Source organism: Homo sapiens, chromosome 15 (genome assembly GCF_000001405.40).
Source record: "Homo sapiens chromosome 15, GRCh38.p14 Primary Assembly".
NCBI lineage: Eukaryota > Metazoa > Chordata > Mammalia > Primates > Hominidae > Homo > Homo sapiens.
In genome coordinates this window covers 57,379,102-57,405,496 of record NC_000015.10, presented here as the reverse complement: position 1 = coordinate 57,405,496, position 26,395 = coordinate 57,379,102, and the positions used below count along the sequence as shown (strand labels likewise).

At 43.3% G+C, this 26,395-nt stretch overlaps 1 protein-coding gene and 1 pseudogene across 20 annotated transcripts in view, besides 1 other annotated feature; one reads left to right on the top strand and one right to left on the bottom strand.

Moving 5' to 3' along the window:
* CGNL1 (cingulin like 1) overlaps nt 1-26,395 on the bottom strand; it is a 174,213-nt gene that overhangs the window by 145,221 nt on the left and 2,597 nt on the right. For 9 of the 20 annotated variants that reach the window (XM_047433184.1, XM_047433186.1, XM_047433185.1 and 6 more), the window contains one exon: nt 2,783-2,836. The exons of 5 other annotated variants lie outside the window; for them this stretch is intronic. The gene's annotated coding sequence lies outside the window, so the exon portion shown is untranslated. 6 more of the 20 variants (XM_047433181.1, XM_005254727.6, XM_047433191.1 and 3 more) reach the window with 5 other exon arrangements.
* Nucleotides 322-423, top strand: RNU6-844P (RNA, U6 small nuclear 844, pseudogene; annotated as a pseudogene).
* Nucleotides 17,339-17,923: an enhancer, noted in NCBI's record as "H3K27ac hESC enhancer chr15:57679772-57680356 (GRCh37/hg19 assembly coordinates)". NCBI's record gives its function as "activates a minimal SCP1, AML or CMV promoter by ChIP-STARR-seq in primed H9 embryonic stem cells {active_cell/tissue: H9 hESC(primed)}" and the evidence as "EXISTENCE:reporter gene assay evidence [ECO:0000049][PMID:30033119]".

The window sequence follows — 26,395 nt, the reverse complement described above, 5'->3', positions numbered from 1 at the left end:
AACCTAGACAGTATCACAGCACAAAGGTTTGGAAAGAGAAAATCTTACCTGAAGGCAGGAAAAGCAAAGGTCACACACAGCTCCCAAATCGGGAGCAGCACCTAAGGGTAGCCCAGAGTCAATGCCAGAGTGATGGGAGAAATCAGACACCCGAGTCAGAGTGTGAGATAGAAAGCAGCCCCGCTCAAGAGTAGGGAAACAATGATATGTTAACGTCATCATTGACAATGGAGGCAATGGGGTGGGTGAAGTGAAAAAGGCAGCCATCATCTTAATGCCTAATGTGGACGCAGCACCTTACACTTTAGAAAGTGCCAATATGGGCTCACTTCAGCAGCACATATACTAAAATTAAAACAATAGAGATTAGCATGTCCCTTGCACAAAGATGATATGCAAATTCATGAAGCATCTCATATTTCAAAAAAAAGAAAGGAAAGAAAGCACCAATACAAATGTGGCTTTGTTGATTCACATAAAAAGACAGTATGGTGGGCAGTACAATGATTAGCATTCCCATTTTACAGGTAAGGAAATCAAGGCTCAGAAAGGTCAAGTGATTTCTTATCCAAGATTACACAGAAAGCAAGTAGCATAGTTGGAACTTCAGGGGTCTTACGGCTCCAAGGACTCCTAACCCTTTTAATCTCCCAATTCCACATGAACTTGATTCCCAAGTACCCTCTTGACATGATTAATAGGAATCTACCCATGTTTGGCTAATGACTGTTCAAAAGCAGGCGCCCCTCTTGAGTTCCTCCAGATTTATTCCATGACCTCTTTACTGGGAAGAAATTTGGGGTTCTCTGAGCCTTCTTAGGGTGCTCTAAAGCTGAAGTGACCAAAGAGAAGTCAAACCTAGGCCTTTTATAAAGGTTGCCTCAGGGCTCTCTGGGAACCCACAGCCAAGTAGCTGCAGAATAACTAAACGAAGCCACTACTAAAAGCATTTTTATGTGAAAATGCACCCTTTGCAAAAATGTTCGCTACAAGGATCCATATTTTTCAATAAGCACCTTCAACATGTCATCACCATAGTTTTTCATAGACACTTGGTTTCAGAAAATCTGTGACAGGTTCATTGGATTTATTAGAACTGCATTCTTCACTTGAAAATATCTTACAAGCTATAAAACATTTTAAAAACTCTGAGCGTTCATAAATCCATGAAGATGCTGTTCTGCTTTTTTCACCAGCAGGTAGATGCAAATTGAAAGAGGGGGAAAAATTTGCCCTGATGTTTCAAGAGGTCCAAAGCTGGGCCGTTCTAAGCTCAGCAGGGAGAAGCAAGTGAGAGAAATAAGCTACTTTCCTGGAAATACTGCCAGGCTTCCAGATCCCTGGCTTCTGGGCTTGGTTAATAAGAACAAGCACACAGGCAGCCTTGAGAAAGGGCTGAGAAGGAAGAGACAGTTCCAGCAGTCAAAATCAACACCTTGAATTGCACTGGAAGTAGTTGGAAAGTCAAGTCTGACACCCAGCACTAGCTCAAGGTACTCCCTGGGCAGCAAACTCTTGGCTCTGAGCATCAGCCAGTGCTATGGGAGGCCCCTTTCCTCTATGGAAGGCTTGGAGGGGGTCAGGGGAGGCAACTAGGCTCTGGGGCTGTGCATCTGTCTTCTAAAAGGCAGGGGCAACCCCTAGATCCAGGGAAGAAGCCAGCCCTTGTACAGAGCAGGAGTGCCTCTCTAGACACGGCCATTAAAACCCACTGGACACTCCCTCGGGATGTTTCTTTCCTTCTGCACAACGTCACCTCCATCTATTTAGATTGAGTATTTTCCAGCCTGCCTCTAGCCAGCCAGATGTTGCCTTTCAAAGAGTAAGTATTTTTCTAATTATTTCCAGGAGAAGCAAATAATCTTCAGCCACTGAGGTCTGCCATGGAATTTACTTTTCCCCACAAAGGGCTGCGGGTCAGCCTCTGCCCATTGCTCTCAGTGGGCACACAGGAGGGCAGACTGCAAATCCCTGTAGTCGATGAATCCTGTTTTGAAATAAACTCCTTGGCATCAGTAAAGAGTTAATTCACCTCCCAGGTTTTGCATTCTGTTTTCTGGGTTTGGGAGATGGTTTTTAACCTCGTGTTTCTTTGCATGGAGGTTTAATGTTGTTGGGGGGAAAGGGGAAGCATTTTAAACACACTCCCATGCTTGCAAAAACAATATCATTTTCTTAGCAGCAGAGTCTTGGCCCAGATGCTTCCGGGAAACCAGCATGTTGTCCTGGGCCCCAAAGAGGGGCGTTTCAACCTGGCTGACAAAGCTCAGCATGAGTCAGGGGCAGGCTGGTCTGGCCAAGACCACCATGGAGGTTGCCACTGAGCAGACAGACCCCTTCGTCAATAGCTGGCAATCAAGGCTCCTTGAAAGTCTTCCCTGACATCAAGTCCTGGCAAGCATTGTGGAAAGTACAGCCTCCAAATGATAGCAAAGGATTCAATGGTGGCCTTTTCTGACATCATTTGAACCACCACCTCCAGTTTCTCTAGGAGATTCAGAAAAGTGCCCACCCCTTATATTTTCATTTGGAATTACGCATATGTGCAGTTAGAATCTCCAATGTCTTCTGCCTGCTGTCTTGTCAAAATGATTCAAGCCTGTAGCCCTAAAGCCCTGCACTGAGGGCTGGGAAATACCTTCCTGGGGGGTGAGATGGCAAAAAACAAAAGGTCCCCATGAATAACTTAATCTAAAGCAGAAAAGGGGACAGGTCAGAGCAGCTGAAGCCTTTGAACTCTTTACCTCAATGCCATTGGGTACTTAACTTGTCAAACACTTACCAAGCACCTACTATATGCAAGTCACTGCACCTTCAAGATGGTGTTGGAGACACACTGTGAAACCAACAGAGAGCAGGGGTATTCATTAGGTTAGGTTCTGCAGCATGTAACGGAAAACCCAAAATAATTTTGGCTTAACCAATAAGACAGAAGTGTGGAGGCAAGCAGTCCAGGGCTGGGATCATGGCTCTGCAGTCATTAGGGATCCAGGCTCCTTTCTTTATGCCCTACTTAGAGCATGGTGTGCTAGTCCATTTGGCATTGGTGTAAAGGAATACCTGAGGCTGTGTAATTTATAAAGAAAAGAGGTTTACTTGGCTCACGGTTCTGCAGGCTGTGCAAGCATGGCACCAGCATCTGCTCAGCTTCTAGTGAGGCCTCAGGAAGCTTTTACTCATGGCAGAAGGTAAAGATGGAGTAGGCATGCCACATGGCAAGAGCAGGAGCAACAGAGGTGCCAGACCCTTTTAAGCAACCAGCTCTCACATGAAATAGAACAAGAACTCACTCACTCACTATGGGGAGAGCACCAAGCCATTCATGAGGGATCTACTCCCATGACCCAAACACCTCCCACCAGGCCCCACCTCTAACATGGGGGATTACAATTCAACATGAGATTTACAGGGGACAAAACATCCAAGCCATATCACATGGCTTCCATCTTCATCGTTACCTCACAATCCAAGATGGCTGCTGGACTTCAGCCATTGTGTCCATGTTCCAAGCAGTATGTAGAAGGACAGAGAAAAAGAAAAAGGGTACATTGTCCATAGAAGTCAGTCCCTAGAACCTTTCCACAAGCCTTCACATTTCACTTACTAGAGCTTAACTCACTAGCCCATCAACAGGAGAAGGGGAGGCTGGGAAATACTGTCTTTTGGCATGGCACACTGTACACCCTCCAAAAAAATCAAGTTTTTGGTTACTGAAGAAGAGGAGAATATAAAGACTGCTGGATATAAAATTAGCAGTCTTTACCACAGAATGCGTCATAAGGAAATTTGAGAATGAGCCAATTTGGAGTGCTACTAAGTTCAGAAGAATTGGTAGTAGAAAAAAGGATAGGTATTAAAGCATGAAGGCTCAAATGAAATGATTCTTCAAGGACAACTAAACACTTCATCAGGTTGAAGCTGTTTTGAATAATTTTCCACAACCATCCACCTTTGAATTGAACATATTTTATGAAACACTCGAGCTGGTAAGGAAATGTCTTAGGCATGCTAGAACTCGGGCACCAGCAGAATCACTTGGGAACTTTTTAAAAATTCAAATCCCTGAGACCCATTCTTGGAAATTCTGACGGACGGTTTGGAGTTGAGGCTTAAAATTCTGCATTTAAAAAAGAAAAAAGCAGCTGGGCGCACTGGCTCAATGTATACACCGTCCAACCCTATTTCCAGTAATTAACTCTGAACAGAAGAATTATACAAACACTTCAGAGAGTACAAATACTTATATATGAGGTATTTATAATAGTCCAAATATCCATTAATAGAAGATTGGCTAAATTACGATATATCTATACCAAGGAACACCAGGAAGCTATTAAAAACAACCAACAAAAATTTATATACACAGCCATAGAAAGTATACAAATATATTTTTAAAAATACAAAAATCAGTACCAAAATAACATAGAGTAACCCCATCTCTGTAAAAAATATAAAGTTACAGAAAAATCTAAAAAAAAATTATCAAATCCTTAAAGCGTAGTTATGACTAGAGATGATAAAACAGGGTACCTTTCATTTAAATAACACATTTTTGTAATGCTTCAATTTTCATTGCAAACATGCCTTTTTTTTTTTTTTTTTTTTTTTTAATTTGAGACAGGGTCTCATTCTGTCGCCTAGGCTGGAGTGCAACGGTGCAATCCTGGCTCACTGCAAACTCTACCTCCTAGGTTCAGGCGATTCTCCTGCCTCAGCCTCCCAAGTAACTGGGATTACAGGCAGGCGCCACCAAGCCTAGCTAAATTTTGTATTTTTAGTAGAGACAGGGTTTCACCAGGTTAGCCAGGCTGGTCTCCAACTCCCGACCTCAGATGATCCGCCCGCCTTGGCCTCCCAAAATGCTGAGATTACAGGCATGAGCCACCATGCCCGCACAAACATGTATTGTTTTTACAATAAGAAAGAAAATAAGTGAATGGAAGCTCAAATGGGCTTTGAGCATCCAAAGCTGTGTGTGCTGTGAAGCCCACCATTTTCTTTTTAGGCAACAAGCTGCCTCAAGCACAGCACCCAGCATAAAACACAATTCAAACTCAGCCTCCTTCACACACAACTTGACACAGATGGAAGTTACAATCCTTAGCCCAAAGCCAAGTAGAAGCAACAAAAGCATAAGCTGCTAACAGTATCAGTTACAGAAAGTGACAGAAGAACCACAAAAGGCAGACCTAAGAATGAGAAGAGGCTGGGTGCAATGGCTCACGCCTATAATCCCAGCACTTTGGGAGGCCGAGGCGGGCCTGAGGTCAGGAGTTCAAGACCAGCCTGGCCAACATAGCAAGACCCCCATCTCTACAAACAAAAAAATTTAAAACTTGGCTAGGCATGATGGTGCACATCTCTACTCCCAACTACTCGAGAGGCTTAGGTAGGAAGATCACTTGAGCCCAGGAGTTTGAAGCTGCAGTGAGCTTTGATTATGCCACTGCACCACCACTTTGGTGACACAGTGAGACCCCATTAAAAAAAAAAAAAAAGGTATTAGAAATACAGCAATTTCTATAGCTATTTAGGGTAGGAACAAGGAGACTTACACACCTAGAGCCTCTAAGGATATCTCCAAGTAATAAATAAGATTAATAAGAATGAAAATAGTGAGTTTTATTTAGTGTCTAAGTTTTCATGGAGATGGGGTCTCACCATGTTGCCCAGGCTGGTCTCAAACTCCTGGGCTGAAGCAATCCTCCAGCCTCAGTGCTGGAGGCTCCCCGCCCAGAGTGCTAGGATTACAGGCATGAGCCCCTGCACTCGACCTGCAATCCTCAATGGACAGATTCCATACTCCGCTCCGAAGACAAAACTCAGAGATCTTTACTCATTGTCATGAAGATGTAAAATCAGAAATGTAGCACTGTCCATTTCTTGTGTCTTTCTTGTATTATTTTTCCTATTTTCCGCATACAGAATTTTGTTAGGAAAAAAAAAAAAAACAACTATAGATGTCCTGGGTCTTCAGGTGATTAAGCCTGGCTTCAAAAAACAAGATTCTACTTTTCAAAAAATAATCAACCAAAATTGTGACCAATAATACAAAGCCCAAAATTGTGACCAATAATATGAAGTATTCAAATATGGACTACAATTAGAATTTGGGGATTAAATTAAATATTGAAGAAGTAGAGAGTGGAATCATGGTTATTAGAGGCTAGGAAAGGTAGAGAAGAGGGTAGGATAGAAAGAAGTTGGTGAACAGGTCAAAGTTACAGCTAGATAGGAGAAATAAGTTAATTTATTGTACATTTTCAGATAGCTAGAAGATAGGATTTCAAATGTTCACAATGCAAAGGACTGACAAATGTTTGAGGTGATGAATATACTAATTACTCTAAAGGACTTCCCTAAAAAGTCCACCTTCTATCTTATTACCTCCTCCACCTCTCTGAGCACTTTATATATATCATAATTTAGCCAATCCTCTATTAATGTTCATCACACATTGTATACATGTATCAAAATATCACTTTGTTTTCTCATAAGTATGTACAATTATGTGCCAACTCAAAAGGAAAGAAGGATTTGTGAGAGCAAAAATAAAATTTAAAGGGCCTGGATTTTCAAAATAATAAATTTTTTCAAAATATTCATGGTTAAACAACAAAAACATGGATTTAATGCATTTGGAGGAAACTTTGGGGCAATTTTTGTTAAAAATACAAGGCCTCTGCACCAAATGATAAAGTACGGTGTTCTCTATTCAAAATGCTCTTCCCACATTTTAATCTTCAAGTGGGTTAAAACAATAGAGGTATGTGTACCTTCCCAACAACCTGCCGGTTTGAGTAAACTCAATTTACACCATGACGCCAGCCTGGTTTTCCAACATGCTCAGTTATTATGTTTGAAAGACTGGTTTTTCAAACAACACGCTGCCATGAGGGTCCCACTTTCCCACAGTGCCAGCGTCTACTTTTCTGGGAGTCAGAGCTCACAGTGCTTCCCAGCACTGCAGGACCAGGTGCGTGGCAGGCACACAATAAGGGCTGGCTTCCTTTCCCCTTTCCCTCTTCCTCCAAATAGAACAGGAAAATGGTGATATGATACAAACCTATAATAACACCAAGTCTTTCCTCCTGGGCTTCCATTAATCGTTTTCCTATTTCATTATATGGCCATCCAAAATCCCCATTAACAGTATCTTGCTTGCAGGAAAAAAAACCCCAATTTGTATTCAAAAAAACAAAAAAGGAAAGAAAAGCATACATATATGTAAATAAAAGCAGAGGGGAAAAAAGAAATATACCCAAATATTAACATGTGTTTATCTTCATGGTAGAACTGAAAAGTTTTTAATTTTCATCTTATACTTTTCTGTATTTTCCAAATGCTTTACAATAAGCATCTATTGGTTTTTTCTCATTACAATTAAAAGTGAAAGAAAGATTGAAATTTAAATGGTGCTGGGTATGGTGGCTCACGCCTGTAATCCCAGCACTTTGGGAAGCTGAGGCAGGCGCATCTCGAGGTCAGGAGTTCAAGACCAGCCTGACCAACATGAAGAAACCCCATCTCTACTGAAAATACAAAAATTAGCATGGTGTGGTGGCACGCACCTATAATCCCAGCTACTCGGGAGGCTGAGACAGGAGAATGGCTTGAACCCAGGAGGTGGAGATTGCAGTGAGCTGAGATCACACCACTGCACTCCAGCATGGGCGACAGAGAGAGACTCCATCTCCAAAAAAAAAAAAAGAGGAAATTTAAGTGGTACAAGGTGTTCCACTTCATATTCTACAATAATAAAATAGTAATGAAGACTACATAATCAAGAAAAAAGGCTCGTCACATGTCAAAGGACACGGGGATAACATAAAATAATCTATACCCTACAATTAAAACGATGGGAAAAACTATATAATAAAATGATAGTGGGGGTTTTTTCTCCATTTTCTGGCTTCTGTAATGTGATTCTATTACTTTTATAATTTAAAAATTAGCTTTTGAAGCATTATAAAAATTAATTTACAAAATGTACATCAAAAAATAAATAAGACATCTTAAAGACCCTGTCTTAGTAATTCGCAAGATGAGATACTAAGAGAGTTAGGATCAGGAGCTTCCTAGTTCAGGAGTCAGTAAGGCCATTTTCTCCAACACCACCACTCCGCCAAATGGAGGCAGCCTCCACAAAGGCCTGCGGGTCCCCTGTGGGTCACAGGCTGATGAAGGAGAACCGTTTTGACTGCTTCATAGCAACATTGGCTCTCTACTTCAAGGCCAGCAATGGTTTACAAATGCCATGGACTCCAGGGCTCTTTGACCTCAGCCTACCATCACCTGTTCACTTCCTCCCTGTGGCTACACAGGCTTCTGATCCATTCCTCTTCACATGACTCTATTTTCATCCCCCCCAGCCTCAGGTTAAATGTCACCTTCCCGAAGAAGCCATATCCCAGAAGACTGACTTCTTTCTGCAAGACTTTAGCGACCCCGTCCTGAACCCACAGATTGAAGTAGACTCTCCCAGTGCTCCAACAGTGCCCTATGCATGGATTCTGTGTTGGACTATGATTATGTGATTTCTGAGTCTTTCTCTTCCACTGGACTATAAACTCCTAGAGGGCAGAAATCAAGTTATATTCATTATTACATATCAGCACAACACCTTCCGTATAGCAAGAGCGCTATAATTGTTAAAATTGTTCTTACCAGGTAAGTCCATAGGCTATGGAGTCAAAATCCATATCAAGTTTGATATGGATTCTACTACACACCCACCAGAATGATGATAGTCATTACAGTGTTAGGACAGAACCACTGAACCCTCTGCTAGGTGGGAGTGTAGAAAACAGTTTCACAGTATAGAATACAGCTCCACACCTATTAAGACCCAGCAGTGCTGACCTAGAAATGTACTCAAAGAGCCGTATACGTATACAAATCATGTACAAGAATGAACACAATTAGGCCAGGCATGGTGGCTCACACCTATAATCCCAGCACTTTGGGAGGCCAAGGCAGGAAGATCACTTGAGGTTAGGAGCTCAAGACCAGCCTGGCCAACATGGCGAAACCCTGTCTCTTTTAAAAATTAAAAATTAGCCAGGCATGGTGGCATGCACCTGTAGCCCCAGCTACTTGGGAGGCTGAGGCAGAAGAATCACCTGAACCCAGAGGTGGAGGTTGCAGTGAGCTGAGATCACATCACTGTACTCCAGCCTGGGCAACAGAGGAGACTGTTTCCAAAAAAAAAAAAAAAAACAAAGAAAGAAAGTAAGTAGCACAATAAATAACAACCAAGAACTAAAAACAACCAAAGTCCATCAACAGTAGAAGAGATCAACAGTGAGGCATATTTGTACATTAAACTATACAATAAGAAATGTAGCAATATATTTAGCAATGAGGAAAAACAAATTATCGCTACATGCAAATCCATGTATTTCACATCAATGGATGAATTTCACAAACATAATACTAAGTAAAAAAAGCCAAATACAAAGAGTACATACTGTATGAATATGATTCTGTTTTTATGAAGTTCAAGAACAGTCAAAGCTTTTCTGTGGTGATAGAATAGTAGGCAACTTTGTTGAAAAATAACAATCAGGAGGAGGCACAAGAAAGCTTCTAGAAGATTCTGTACATTATAATTTATGAATTAAAAAAAATGTTTTTTAACTTGGTTCGTACCATGGCGCTAACCACTTACCAGCTGCATGGTCTTGGGCAAATGTCATAACCTTAAGCTTCAGTTTCTACATTTGAAAATGAAGATAAAAACAAAACCATCAACTACTTCATGGGAATGTGATGAGAATTCAATTAGGCAATGCACATAGCGTGCTTAACGTAGTGCCCAGCACAAGGTAGAGCCCAATATACAACAGCAAAAATAGCAGCAGCAAAGTTCTACTCATGTCTTACTTGGGGCCAGGCACTGCTCTTAGCTTTAAGCCCTTAATCACTGTGCAATACACCATGCCCAGTTCCTGTTCTTATTAACGAGTCAAGGCCAGACGCAAAGGCTGTGACCTGGGCATTCAGTAGCCATCTGTGCATAACGCGAATCACAGCATTCATTTCAAGAAGGGTGAATCACTAGTTATGCTGCTGCTGAGGTTTCAAAGAAAAGAAACTGGCAGGAGTCACACATTGGGATTATTTAGCTTCCGAAAGCATTAGCTGCTTTTTGCAGAAGTAAGAAGATTTTATTCTGGTGAAATCACTCATGTTGAATTGAGGACTCATTTGGGAACTGAAGGAACTCATCTTTCTTCCCTAAGGAAACAGAAGAGACAACTAACTCTCTGTTAAAAGTTATTCAAGTTGACTAGCTAAATTTACTATCTTTTAATGCAGTTCAGATTTATAATTAAAATAATTGGGTTTTTTGGTTTGGTGGGGTTTTTGTTTGTTTGTTTATTTGAGACGGAGTCTCACTCTGTCATCCAGGCTGGAGTGCAGTGGCATGATCTCAGCTCACCGCAACCTCCGCCTCCCAGGTTCAAGCAGTTTTCCTGCTTCAACCCCCAGGTAGCTGGGACTACAGGCGTATGCCACCATGCACAGCTAATTTTTGTATTTTTAGTAGAGACAGGGTTTCACCATGTTGGCCAGGCTGGTCTCGAACTCCTAACCTCAAGTGAGCCTCCCATCTCAGCCTCCCAAAGTACTGGGATTACAGGCATGAGCCACTGCGCCCAGCCAAATAATTGTTTAAGTACGTGCTTACTGTGTAAAGTAACTGAAAATATTGTTCATGAAGCAAGGGGCTCAGATCATATAAGATCATCTCCAGCCACACCACCCTGAATGCACCTGACTATTGACACTAAGCAGGGTCAGAAATGGTTAGTTCTTGGATGGGAGATTACAATAGGTCATTTGTAACACTGATACAATAGTCTCCAATTTACAAGAATAACCTGTACATTTGAGAATGGCTCAATTCTCATGAATTGTGGCTTTAAATAAGAAATAGCAAACTGCCTGATTTTGAACCTACCCCCACCATTTACTAGTTATGTCACCTTGGGCAAGTTACTAAATCTCTCTGTATCTCAGTTCCTTGGTAAAAATGGAATCAATAGCGTTACTATAAAAACCAAATAAGCCGGGCATGGTGGTTCACGCCTGTAATCCCAGCACTTTGGGAGGCTGAGGCAGGTGGATCACCTGAAGTCGGGAGTTCGAGAGCAGCCTGACCAACATGGAGAAACCCCATCTCTACTAAAAATACAAAAAATTAGCTGGGCTTGATGGCACATGCCTATAATCCCAGCTACTCAGGCAGGAGAATCGCTTGAACCCGGGAGGTGGAGGTTGCCGTGAGCCAAGATCACGCCATTGTACTCCAGCCTGGGCAACATGAGCTTGTACTCCAGCCTGGACAAGAAGAGCGAAACTCCATCTCAAAAAAAAAAAAAAAAACAAACAGAAATTACCCTGGTTTGGTGGTGCGTGCCTGTGGTCCTAGCTACTCGGGAGGTTGAGATGGGAGGATGGCTTGAGCCTAGGAGGCTGAGGCTGCAGTGAACCATGATCGTGCCATGGCACTCCAGCCTGGGTGACAAAAGGCTTTGGCTTTAAAAAAAAAAAAAAAAAAAGTTAATACATGTTAAGTACTTAGAACAGTATCAAGCACTGTTTAGTGACATAGAAGTGTTAGTATCATTAATTGTTATCATACTTTCTGATGCAGATGCAGAATTCATGTAAAATTACACCACTTAGTCACAAAATCTGCAGATATAATATAGACTGAGAAGCAGATAAGGATATATACTAAGATCATGTCAAGTAAGCATGACATTTGGTCTTTAGAGTAATACTTATGCACACACACAAACACATGCACTTTCTCTCTCTCTCAAGAAATTTAACTCGGGGCTACTCTGGAACATAACGTACCAATGATCTCAGATTCTTTGGATCCCAAAATGATCCCAAAAAAAGATGTTAAATATTACTTTTCTTCCAAGTATTTCCAAGAACCCATTAAACACACACATGCATAAATACACACACACACTGAAAAGGTACACTTGTTTTCTGTATTTCAAAAGCACACTGGAATCATTCCACTGCACATTTGAGGAGCAAAGTGGATGGTGTTCAAACACAAACTCTTCACCCTGCAGCAGAGGAGGCCTACTAAGCTTTTACATTTTCCTCCAATTGTGAACACTGAAAGCTTTTCATTTTGTTCCAAAGGAAATGATCTTACCATAGCTCAACGATATTATCATTGTCTGAATAAAGTGGGTATCCGGTGGCCATTGCAGAAGGCCTCAATGCTAAAACCCAAGGGTACAAAAGTTAAAAGTAACTCAATAGAAATGTCAGTTACAACATTCTTTCTTTTGATTTATGAGCATCAAACTTAGAACCCTGGAGCAAGGGAATTAAGACTATGGCACAATGTAAGGGTAGTACTCTACCTCCCCTCCTTCCACCCTTGCCATTAAAAAGGCCTTCAATACCCATTTTATTTTTGTATATGGAAGAGAATTAGACTTGAAAATACCACTACATATAATTCTTTCATCTCACCAACAGGCATATTCACACTCTTCTACTAATACTGGCCAATCAGGTTGAAAATCCCTATCTCACAACTGTTATCTGTGTCACATCATTAAGATAACAATTTTTTATGTATTAGTCCAGGGTATCAAAGAACTTTATTTTTCCTTTAAAAAAAAATGACTGTTCATTCTACACTTAGTAGACTTTAAACATCTAGACTCCATTCAAGCCACAGACTATTAACACAGTTAACATGAGATGGTGGTTTCTTGCCTTTGCTCTACCCTCAGTTGTAAAAACCTTATACAGCTTTATTATCCAGATCCTGGGACAATAGCCTTCAGTAGGAGACAGATGATGAACAGAAGGTCTCATACTTACACTGTTTCCTTAGCAATGAATTAGATTCTGGGAGCTCAAGGAAAAGGTAGGAAATGACAGTCATACTTCTTTGCAAGATAAATTTCCAGCAGAATGTACTTTCTTGCTGACTTGAGCTGCTTGGTTGGGTTTCAGCCCCTCATAAAGTTGTGTTAGGTCTTGACCTAAACATTCATTCATACTTCAAATGAGTTTTTGTCTCTACTAGGTAGAAGACACTGTGCCAGGTACCAAAAGAGATTTAAAATGACCTTATTTCACTCCTGGACTTTTCCCCTTCCCCAACCTCCCTCTAGGCTGATCACACACAGCTAAATGCACTCCTATCCTATCACATCATGTCTCAGATAATGCCCCTGTTAGGGCCTTGGTTTCCTCTCTTTAATATCTCCCACCCCTACTAAGAAAACACCTATCACTTTCTTTTGTATTATAAAGGTAATACATGCAGTGATATTTATAAAATTCAAACAGCCAAGAAGGGCATGAAATGGAAAACAAAACCACAGCACCATCCCATGGCCCAGAAATAACCAAAATTCTTGGTTCCAGAAATTGATATTCACAATCAAAAATTAAGACTTTTTTTTCACCATCTTATGGTGCTGAAAAAATTAAGACTTTTATTGTGATGGTGTCAGGTGAGGGGGGGGAAAGAAAAATGTGAAGGTGTTTATTTTTGCGAACAAAAAAATGGGATCTCAGAATACATGCTGATTTGCATCTTTTCTGTTCTTTCCTCTTTTCCTGCCTGTGGACATCACTCTGAATAAGGATATGGAATAAGGATACGATGGGTGGAGCAGCAACAGCCACACTGAGATCATGAGGAAACAAGCTTGAAGGCAAACATCAAACACTGAGGCGAGGAAAGAGGAAATAAGCCTGGGTCTTCAAACTAACTCCCCCAACAGCCCAGACTTTGGACTTCTTGTTTACATGAGGTAACAAATGTCATTTTGAAATGTCTTATTTAAACCACTTTTTAACCACTTTTTGCTGTTTTTATTCTTATGTAAACCACCTTCAACTGAGTTTTGTTTACTTGCAAGTAAAAGCAGCCCCATTGCCAAACTGCTCTCTAGATAGAAGCCCAGTGAATTTATAATCCCACACTCAGCACATGTGAGAGTGTCTGTCTCCTCACACCCTTGGCTTTACAAGGTTTTGGTCCCCATCTATTCCTGGTTCATTTTCACAAGTGGCTAGAGCCTTTTCTTCCTCAAAGTCTAGCAGCTCTTCACTAAAGAAATGGCCCATTGCAAAGCAGTAACAGCAAGGCTGCTTATCATTGGCCAGTATTTCACTCATTCTGCTTCGCCTATGTCATCCCTTATGGGCACGAGGCTCACATGGCTTCTTCCAAAGCAGACTCTGTCATCACAGGGCCAGAATATACTATAACACACAACACCAGTCCGGACTCTGCTAGACTATGACAACCACAGGGTGTGGAAAGACAGACCCTAGACTGGGAACAGGGTGGCCTGGCTCTCATCTGCCATTTTTGAGCTGGTTGGCTGAAGACAAGTCACCTCACCTCCTGAAGCCTGTTTCTTTGGATGTAAAAGGCAGGGTCTGGAAGCTACAGCCTAGGATCCTTATGAAGATTGGGACATGGTACACACAGGCACTGATGCTAACCTGTCACTGACTATTACAGGTGGGACTTAGGCTGAGGCAAGCCCCTGGCCTCCTTCAACACTGTGGTCCTTCTTTGTCCTCTTTGCCCTCTCAGCTTGTCACACTCCTGCCACCACAGCTGGCAGCCTGTCAGGTCATGATGGCTAACCCGAAGAAAATCAGGCCCATCCTTCTGCTCCTCCCACAGATAGGCAGCACTCCCACGAGCCCCATCGCAGTGAAAGGATATGATCAATGTCCAGCCAGCCGAGAGGCAGCGCATGCCAGCGAATGTACAGGAAATGCCAAGGCCTGGGCTGGTACCTGCACCAAATGCATATGATTTTTCACCCAGTCAGCCTAGGTCTCGCAAGCTCCCAAAAGGCTAGTTTGGCCCAAACTGCTCTCTTCCGTCTTATTCATTCTCTACCATTGTGAATGAAATTATTGTTCTCAGTGCTTTGCTCCTCCATATACATCTACCTTCTTTGCCATATGACTTCGAGTTACCTCCTACTAGAACTGGCCAGGTATACTTCCTCACCCTGCTGATGTGGGGCTTGACAATGCAATTTGTGTTGGCCAAGGGAATCTTGGCAGAACTGACAGTGGGCTGCTTATAGACCAAAGCTTTAAGAGGCTTCCAGCATTTCTGCTTGCCTTCTTATGCCTCTGTAATCTGCCCAAGGCAAGCTGGCCCTGCATATTTGTTGCCCCTGCAGCCTGGGCTGCTGAATAAAACACATGTGGAATAGACCTCAACCCAGATGGAAGCCTGGAGTCTGGCTTGGCCAAGTGAAGCACAGCCTGGCTCAACCAAACCACACCCAACCAACAGCTGAGCGAGGGGAAAATGAACCTTTGTGGTCATAAAGAACTGGGATCTGGGGCCAGGTGCGGTGGCTCACACCTGTAATCCCAGCACTTTGGAAGGCCAAGGCAGGTGGATCACCCAAGGTCAGGAGTTCGAGACCAGCCCGGCCAACATGGCAAAACCCTGTCTCTACTAAAAATATAACAATTAGCTGGGTGTGGTGGCACGTGCCTGTAATCCCAGCTCCTTGGGAGGCTGAGATAGAAGAATCGCTTGGACCCAGGAGGTGGGAGGTTGCAGTGAGCCAAGGTGGCACCACTGTACTCCAGCCTGGGCAACAGAGTGAGACTCCATCTCAAAAAAAAACAAAAACAAAAAACTGAGATCTGGGATTGCTTGTTACACGGCAATATTAAGCAGCAATATCCAATACAACCATTGTAAGAGCAAATATAACTAAGTTTGCCTGGCACATAATGACACACGATGATAAAATATTTACGCTTATGTTAAGGAAATCTGAGTCCATTTATCATTCAAACACATACAGAGCACTCCTATACATAAGGCACCAGGCAAGGCCCACAGGACACTGAGTAAAAAGAAAAACACAAAGGTAACTAACTCCTGCACGTGTCTTTTTGGTCAAGCGTAACTCCAAGCTTCCTAAATCCTATTGGGCGAGAGGGAAGGGTCTGTGTTGAAAAAGTGTCTGCTCATTTCATTCATTCATTTACTATCCTGGGTTAAAACACAAAAGGCATGAAATTCAACATCTGTGCATTTAAGTGAACTCTTACATTTGTTGATAGCAGAATCTACTTTTTCTACAAATGTACTATTCACTTAAAAGACAGTTGGAAACTACAGGTTTTTTTGGTTTGTTTTTTGTTTTTTGAGATGGAGTTTTGTTCTTTTTGCCCAGGCTGGAGTGGAACTTGAATCATTTTTAATGAACTCCTTGGTTCCACTAATCTTCATTTATTTCCTGAGCACTCTGATGCCCCAGGCACATGATTTTTAACTTTGCTAGAAAGCAGCACACACATCATTCCTAGTTCCAAAGCCCAGCTGCCCAGGTGCAGCCACTGATCACGAATTATTTTAAAGGGTAGTTGACATCCCCTCGTGCCCAAAATTTAAATTTAAAAAGAAAAAAAAAACACCTCTCTATAGTTTGACTCCGAAGTCTTCATTTTTACCTTTAGAATTTTATTTCATCTGCAAATGTGAAGATTCCTCCTCTAAAGGACAATGGAAAAAGACAAATTTCAGCCAGACTCCTTCTTCCATTCACCTCCACTCAGAAAGTCATGGGAGACTCCCACATCTAATAGCCTTTGCCATGAAGTCTTTCCAACAATCTTTTGGAAGTCTAAATAAAATCTAGATCCACTGGTTTGTCCTTCTTCCCACATTTATTCTCTCCCTCGGAGAACTTTAATAGATTTGCCAAGCATAATTTCTCCATCTGCGAGTCATGTTTTCTTCAGAGTCCAGTAACATCACCCTGTCCCATGGACTGCACAAGGCTGCCAGGTATGCAGGCAAATTAGCTCTGATAACAAGAAGCATTTCTATGATTCTAACCAGAAACTCACCAAAGTGAAGTGTCAGTACAGTCGTGCGAGCACACATATCTACAGCTACCTCTGCAGACACTGCTCTGAGCACTGGACACACAAGAATTCATAGAACAGAACCCCGGAGGGAGGATTCAGATCCGGGCAGTCCAGGCCCAGAATCCAGACTGCTAACTGCCCACCTTGGCAACCTCTACAAATCACCAGTGCGTGTCAGCAGCTCCGGGCTCCCCTCACCCTCCTGTCTTCGTCCAGCACAAAGGAAAGACCACCCTAGAATTTTCTTTATTTTAGCTTTTCCCAGGACTCCTCTAATGACAACTCCGGAGTTTTCCCTGAAGCTAAAGCAGCCTGCTTCCTCTTCTCGGGGCCTACTCACCTCTCCAGAATCAGAGAAAAAAGTAGAGCCTCCTCCAGCTCTCAGACCCTAAGGCCCCAGAATCTCAGGAGCCTGGCACTGCTCTCCTAAATGCTTTAATCTCTGCCCACTGAAGCCCCCCGACACTGCAGATAAGGTCAGAAGTGGGGCAGGGTAACTGCCCTTCCCAGGTAGGGAAATGCTTCACCTCCTTCCAGTCCAGTCTCTCTCCAAGGAGCTGGTTTTACATATCTATGTGGCTTTCAGCCTTTCTGAATCTTCTACTAGTGGCAGCTGAGGGGGGCAGGATAGCCAAGAATGTCCTCCACCCCCTGCCCAGCCCCCATCTCTGAACCCAGTCTGGGTCAATGACAAGCTACAAATCTGGCCCAGGCCTCCACCTGGAAATCTAAAGCAAAGGATATTATTAAAGTCACAGGTTAAGGATCACTCACTCCACAGCTCCTCATTTAGAAGCCTGCAGTGGCGTCAAATGTAAACACTTCCCAAGAATGCTTTAAAACAGGGGGAGGTTTTTATTAAACGACTTAATTGAGGGCCACTTCTCATTGTGGGAAGCTTTTAAACTGATGAATAAAAGGGGCCTGGTGGTGTTTTCCAGACACTTGTTTTTAAAACCTGTCACGCAGAGTCATGGGGAAATGAAGCACCACTCAGGGCCCCTATGTGTGCTCCTGCTGCTAATTCTTTCACAGAAGTAAGATACCTAATAAGACCTATTCCCCAGCACCAAGAACCTGGCATGAGGGCTTCATTCCACATTCATTTCAAGGGTCATTAGAAGTACTGGATGGGAAAAGTGGAAAAAATAAGGCTGGCCAAGAAGGATCAAAATCAATGAAGAAAGACAGTTTAAAACTTGAAAACAGGGCATGACTTCAGAGAACCACAGGCCTGATGACACTGAGGCTTGGGGTGCTCTGCAAAAAAGACACCAGGTAAAAAGTGGTGAAGTGCTGGTGCATGTTACAATACACAGATGGCACCTTGAAAACATTATGCTAAGTGAAAGAAGCCAGATGCAAAAGGCCATCTATTGCATGAAATACATTTATATGAAATATCTAGACTAGGCAGTTCCACAGAAACAGAAAATAGATGAGCGGGCTCGCAGGGAGGGAGTGGCTGGGGGAAGGGAGGAACGTGGAGTGACTGCTCTACGGGTCCAGGGTTTCCTTTCAGGGGGATGAAAAAGTTTTGGAATTAGATAGTGGTGATGGTTGCACAACATTGTGAGTGTACTTAATGCCACTGCACTGTACACTTTAAATTGGTTAAAATGGAGATTTTATGCTGTATTTTGCCACCAAAAAAAATACCAAGAACCAGAAAGATCCTTTTTCAGCTCCTAAATCAGGAGCAAGCTCTTCATCTGAGTAAAAATACACAAGCTACAAGCCAACATCAAATAGTATTTTACTAACAGCAACTCATTTATTGAGCTAAGCTCCCATCTTCACCGCACACCTCACAAGGACCAGTCGCTGAAGCCTCGCACCCATCTTCAGCTGGGTGTTATCGTCGTCACTGTCGTTATCCTCATTTTACAGGTGAGGAAACTGAGGTGCAACGAGGTGAAGTAGCTAACCCAGGGTCACACAACAAGCACGGGAAAAGCCAAAGGTTGTACACAGAGCAGCCTGTGAGTGGCTGACCTCATGCTGTCAACCACTGGGCCACACTGCTTCCCGAATCACACACCCTGCTGCAGGAACTATTTGGGGGGCCTCCTACTATGCCCGTAACACAGATATTCTTTGTTGAGCCCCAACCATTTTAGTGTCCTTGACTGAAACGGATCCCGTGAAAAATGCCTTCAAAAGGCATACCTTAGGAATCACACAGCACATTCACATACGTAGAGCTAGTTTCACACGTGCAGAGTCAGAGCAACATGACGAGATGGGAGGGTGACACAATTACCTATCTGCCCTTTAACAGGGGAGAAAAGCGAGGCTCACAAGCCTGTAGCAGCACAGGCCCCACTCCACCAATGTCCTCTGCAGGGAATGGGTTTAACCACCCCACAGGCTAAGTGGTTTCACTGGTTTTAGCATGGCTATTTATATGTAAACGATGCAAGCAAGTTTCAAATGAAGTTAAGTCATGTTTAATGGAGAGAAAAGGAGGTGTTCCCACCTCAGGGGCACCTGTGGGGAAACCCAGAGGCATCAATAAAACGTTAAATTCCATTCTTTCCACCCTACTTAAGAAAGGAGGGATCTTTGTCCCTGGCCAATAGCTCCCTTGGATCAGAGATGTTAAAAAGAGCTACCGTTGTTTGAGGTTCCACTTTGTCAGGGTTTCTTAGCCTTGGCTCTACTGACATTTTAAGCCAGATAATTCCCGTGGGGGACTGTCCTTTGAATCAAAGGATATTTAGCAGCATCCTTGGCCTTGGCCCATTAGATGCCAGGAGCCATCACCACCCCAGTCATAACTACCAAGAATGCCCCCAGATATTGTCAAATGTACCCCCGGGTGGGGAGGTTGGGGGGACCCTGTTTGAGAACCACTGTACTATGTCAAAGAGATATGGCTTGACTGTATGGGGTAGGCATTACATCTATTTTACAGAGGAGGAAACAAACCTGAAATGGAAGAGGAACCAAAGAGCCATCACTCCTAGTGATCGTCAAATAGAGCTTCCAATCCAAGTGAATGAGACCTTTCTTTGCCCCACAGTGTGAAGAAGGAATGAAAATACAGGAGATGAAACTACTTTATTTTTCTCTGTCACCCAGGCTGGAGTGCAGTGGCACAATCTCAGCTCACTGCAATCTCCGCCTCCTGGGTTCAAGCCAAGCTGGGAATGCAGGCATGCGCCCCCACGCCCAGCTAATTTTTTGTATTTTTAGCAGGGACAGGGTTTCACCATGTTGGCTAGGCTGGTCTTGAACTCCTGATCCCAACTGATCGGCCTGCCTCAGACTCCAAAACTGCTAGCATTATAGGCGTGAGCCACTTCACCCAGCCCAAGGTGAAACTACTTTCTACTAGCTCATGCATTTAAATGTTAAACAGGAAAATGGATGGTGGACTTGAACCTTACCAGGTATTTGGTCCTCAACTGCAAAGAAAATATATTCTGCAGACCCTGATGACAAGAGCAGCCCCGAACAATGCATGGAAGTCTGAAGGGCCTCCCTGATTCACTCAGTAGTCTGCAAGCTGGGTGTCGGGATGCCCTTCAGATAAGAAATGCTTTAAGCAAACAAGCAAAAAATGATTCACCATGAGAACTTGAAATGCATACAAGACAGCATGCTTTTATCAAAAATTCTCTCCTGTTATTTTTGCAAAACACTCCCCACACACTCTCACTTTACTTAAGGCTTGTCTGTTTTTCTGTTTAGATATCACTGTGGCTGCTAGAGACAGAGGAAATACAAGGATGTCAAGTTTCAAAACACTGTCTTTCTTCCTTCTTCCACAAAGCTTTATTGAGCACCTATTTTCTACCAGACACCAGGTATACAAGGTCAGTAAAGAGGTCTCGTCTCTTTAAAGGTTTGTTTGAAAGTTTATGGCAATTTTTTTAAAAAAGAAAGAAAATAAAGTTTATGGGAATTCAGACACATAAACAAAGAGCACTTATGTTGTTCTCATTGCCAAGATAAAGGCATATACAGGCTATCAATAATTTGTTGAAGAAATACGTGGGTGAGTTCAAGGAATGAATGAAGAGCAGGTGCAGCATCCAGGCCTCTATGCCTAATGAGGTGGTAGTTGTTAGCATAGCTCAGAGCCGGACAGCAAGGGTTTCAACCCTGGATTTCAGCACTTTGACAAGTTACCCAATTTCCCGTGGCCTTGTTTCTATCGCCTGTAAAATGGGTTTATGATAGCACCTATCCCATAGAATTGCTATAGTAAAAGCTCTAGGATGGGGCTGGAGGCAAATGCTATGGGAGCATTTGCTATTATGAGAATTACTGATCTTGGGCAGGTCTCCTGGAAAGTGTCTGGCAACTCTCTCCCTCTTTTGTACCCCATCCAGCTGCCTCACACCCAGAAAGTTGGACTCAGGCCTGCAGGGAGAAGCAGTCATGCCATGAGCAAGCCAGGCCTGGAGAATCAGCTAACTGGTGGGTCTTATCTCCTACCCACTATTTCCCCTCTCCCTTCACCCTACCTTCTCCTCCCAACCCACCCACCCCACTCCCCAAAGCTTATAGGTGGCCCAAGGCAGCACAGACTGTTAGGGCTGAGCTAGTCTGGCCACAACCAGACCAAATGCATTTAAGCCCCAAACCTGAAACTCACAAGTAAAAGAAATCTTAAGTTTGGGCTGGGCACGGTGGCTCACGCCTGTAATCTCAGCACTTCGGGAGGCCTAGGTGGGTGGATGGCTTGAGCTCAGGAATTAGAGACCTGCCTGGGCAACATGGCAAAACCCCATTTCTACAAAACACACACACACACATAAAAATTAGCCAGGCATAGTAGCCTGCATCTGTGGTCCCAGCTCCTCGGGAGGCTGAGGTGGGAGAATCACTTGAGCCTGAGTCTGGGAGGTTGAGGCTGCAGTGAACTGTGATCACACCACTGCACTCCAGCCTGGCCAACAGAGTGAGATTATCTCAAAAAAAAAAAGAAAAGAAAAGAAAAGAAAAGAAAAGAAAAGAAAAGGCAGATGTGGTGGCTCACGCCTGTAATCCCAGCACTTTGGGAGGCTGAGGCAGGCGGATCACGAGGTCAGGAGATAGAGACCATCCTGGCTAACATGGTGAAACCCCATCTCTACTAAAAATACAAAAAATTAGCCGGGCGTCGTGGCACGTGCCTGTAGTCCCAGCTACTCAGTAGGCTGAGGCAGGAGAATGGCTTGAATGCAGGAGGCGGAGGTTGTGGTGAGCTGAGATTGTGCCATTGCACTCCAGCCTGGGCAACAAGGCTGGGCAACTCTGTATCAAAAAAACAAAAAAAAAAAAAGGAAGAAAGAAATCTTAAGTTTGTTAAACTCCACCCTGCAATCCCTTTGCAAGCTATTTTCTCTCTCTCTCTTATCTCTCACTCCATTCTTTATCAGGTCCTCTCCAGCACCTAAAGCTTTCACAGTAATCACCACTCTAAGTGAACATTCCAGGTTTTTGATACTTGATTAGGGCAAGGACGGAGGCTAATCAACTTTTCAGCTGCTGCTGTATAATTCTGAGTAAGTCATTGTTTATAGAAAGGAAGATAAAAACCACACAGGCAAAAAAGGTGGGGAATCAAACCTTTTTTAATACTGTCAGCTACAAAAGAGTTCAAGGATATATATTAGTTCATAAGATATACTAGAACCTCTTCATGACTTTGAAAACTGGGCCATTTCCTTTTCTTTTGTAATCAAGTCAAAAGAGCCCCATTGTTGAAAGTTTAACAGTCCTAGTTGGAATACCCAAACTCCCAGCCTTAGAGAGGAAGGGGTCCTCACTTGGAAAATGGGACTAACAACACTCCCATCACAGGATTCCTGGATAGTCCTGGTCACAGTCGTTCCTCTTCCCTATGTGGACTATAAATTTGCAAGGGAAAACAGAGGGCCTGTTTTGAATGCAATGAAACACAAAGATAGAAAACTAAGGGAAAAGGTCAAAAACAAGAGAATTCTTGAGGCCAAAACTAGAGGTCATCTTACCTCAATCTTCCAGCAAAGAGATAAGTAACAGGAAAAGATTATTAACAGTCGAGGAGCTTTACAGACCTAACACACTACAAAGCAATCACCTGAACGATTACGTACTCTACCAAAGCAAAGCAGAAATCCCTGTGATTGGGCAGCAGGGAAGAAACCCTGCCCTGTAAACAAAGAGGCTTCTGGCCAGGCTGGCAGAAATATTGCACGTTCATAACAAATGCTCTGTGCACTAATCCCAAACACTCTAACTCCATGACGACCCTCCGCTAACTCCCTGGAAATGTTCCTTGGAGCTGATCCTTCTCGGGTTGAAATATTCAGCTAGTGCTCATTGTAGTAATGAACATTCATTCACTAGCCCTTTTTTAAACTCATCTCTAATTATAACTCCATATGGCCTCTAAGCCCTTACTACCTGTAATTTTAAGAGCTTGAGGTAATTACTATGCAGCAAAGTTTTGTTTTTGTCGCGAGTACCACATAAACAGGAATTGGATGTGCACAGCTTCGTTTTATTCTAGAATGCCCAACGCTGAATTTTGTTTTTAATCTCTTACCCAACAACCAATTATCTACAGAAACTCAGAGGTTTGCAGAACTTGAAGAAGGGTGGAAATCACGTCTCTCTAACCTAGGATGTGGGACCCGTTCAGAGACTTTCTGCACAGCCTAATCTACCCTCTTCTTTAAGACACCTAGAAAAGCAGCAGTCCATAAATTTCCCTTGGGATCACAAGGTCGCAGTGGCCTTTAGCGGAATACTTTCTCTTTAGGTCTGAACTGATTTACTATTTTCCTCTACCTCACGTAGAGGAAAATAGTAAAATTCCTATTTACACGAGGTAGAGGAAAATAGTAAATCAGTTCAGACCTAAGGAGACTGTGATGTTAAAAAATAAACAAGGCACTGAGAACACAATTTCTTAATCAGCTCAGCTTAAGAGGAGCGAGAAACAGTAGAGAGAACTTAGCTTTGTATTCAGACAGACCAGAGTACTCTCGAACTTCAACTCTGCCATTTTATTTTTGTTGTTTGTTTTTAAGACAGGGTCTCACTCTGTGACTCAGGCTGGAGTGCAGTGGCATGATCATGGTTCACCGCAGCCTCAACCTCCTAGGCTCAAGCCATCCTCCCATCTCGACCTCCAGAGTAGCTGGGACCACAGGCACGCACCACCACACCAGGCTAATTTCTGTATTTTTTTGTAGAGGCGGTATTTCAGCATGTTGTCCAGGCTGGTATTGACCTCCTGGGCTCAAGGGATCCACCTGCCTCGGCCTCCCAAAGTGCTGGGATTACAGGCATGAGAACTTTGCCACTGTCAACTACTATGCACCTTTGCAGGATTCAGCACCTCCTTGGGCCTCAGTTTCCTCATATGTAAAATGAGGTCACTGCCACCTGCCTCTCAGGAATGTAAAGGGTTTACAGTAATGAACGAAAAGTGCTGAGCATGCTACCTGGCACTTGAAAGGCAGTCAATAAACAAATAGTAACTATTATAACCATGAGGTTATTAGCCCTATGGGTCAGCTATTTGGAAACCACCTACCCAAGGGAAAAACAGTGTGAAGTCCAGTTTTCAGCCTGCCCAAGGAAGCCTGAGCTACAGCAACCATGGTATGATGAGGAACCAATGTCTGCCCATTGGCAGGAGCCATAGATACAAACCCAACCACTTGCTCCAAAAAGTGCTGCAGCTGCGGCTTTCACACTGCACTTTGCATTCTCCTTTCAGCTCTGTTGCGGAGGTAGCCGCTACTAAGCTTACTTTACCAGTTACTAATGTGCCAAAAATGGATCCAGCCACATTCTCCATGAGCTTCCCACTCCCAGGAAGTACCCCTGTTCAGTAGACTCCAGAAGCAAAAGACACCTGCCAGAATCTGTTCTCTTCCTCCACCTCCCACCTCCCCTTTGCATGATGGATACCTGCACCCTTCTCGCTCCTGGAGTCGGACATTTCCAAAATCAGTCATTTGGGGTACGGGCCTAATAGAATAAGCTTTAATGTAAACCCAAGTAAAGCATGTCTTATGCCTCCTGTGCCAATGAATTGAGGAGGCATCTACCCAGGCGAGGCTAGCCAGGTGCCCCACAGTACCCCACGGGCCACTGTGTTCCTCTTGATTAGAAAAGTTCCTAACTTATTGCAACCCAGGGTTTACATCCCCACCTGACTCAGGCCCCTTAAGGCAGGAACCTTATCCTGTTTACCAACAACTCTGGGTAATACATAGCTTTTGCTAGTAACAGGGGCTACTAACAGCTGGGCACAGTGGCTCATGCCTGTAATCGGAGCACTTTGGGAGGCCGAGGCAGGTGGATCACCTGAGGTCAGGAGTTCGAGACCAGCCTGGCCAACATGGTGAAACCCCATCTCTACTAAAAATACAAAAATAAGCGGGGTATGGTGGCGCATGCCTGTAATTCCAGCTACTCAGGAGGCTGAGGCAGGGAGGATTGCTTTAACCCGGGAGGCGGAGGTTGCAGTGAGCTGAGATCACATCACTGCACTCCAGCCTGGGTGACAGAGCAGAGTCTCAAATAACAAAAACAAAAAGACACCTTAGTGTGAATTTAAGATGAAGCACTATCTCCCCCAAGGATATTGGCTTGAGGGATGCAGGAGGGTGCATGAGGAGAGAAGTACAGGGGGCTGCAATCGGGACACGGGGGACACCAGGCTGAAAACACTAAGCCTTCCCTCCTCGGTAAAGGTCAGTCAACCCTGGTGCTATTTCCATCCCCCACCCCATTCCCTTTTTTTTTCTTTTTTCCTTTTCCATTTTCAGGATTTTCATGTCATAACTGGTTTCTTGATAACAGCAATGTCACATGCCTGAAAAAAGTAAGCACTTGGTCATTCAGAGAAAATTACCCAATTTTTGGTTTCCCCTTGAACTTTGTTTTCCTGCTCTGATGCCAACCTCTCAGCCATGCCACCGCCCTTTAGTGCCGAGATCAGAAGATGAAAAGAAAGGAAAAGCATAAAATCAGTTGGATATTTTTAAAAGGCCAATGGCATCTCTTAGATAAATGGGTTTCACGGGGAAAGAGAGTTAGGAGGCCATTAAATTTCTTTAACTCTCCCTCACCCATCAGCACAAGCAAATTAAACAAAGAAAAAAAGGAAGCCACCAGGGCAATAAATTCTTAACACAAACCCAAGGCCTTTTCTAGTTGCTGTATCCCCTTTCCCTAAATGAAAAAGTATCTCACTAACCCTTTCTTCATATTTTTCTTCACTTACTTTCTTCTAATCACTTTAGGATATTAGAGCTGCTACTCCAAAGTGAGAAATTGCAATAAATGTGCTTAGGCCCACATTTACATAAACTTTTCTTTTTGGGGGGGTAGAGTGTATTATTATATTCACAGTGTAACTATTGCTGTTCAGGGGTGACTTTTCAGACACCATGAATTCAACAGCATCCTCGAATAAGCATTTTTCTTTTCCCAATTGAGACAAGATTTGGAAGTTAACAAACCATTTAAT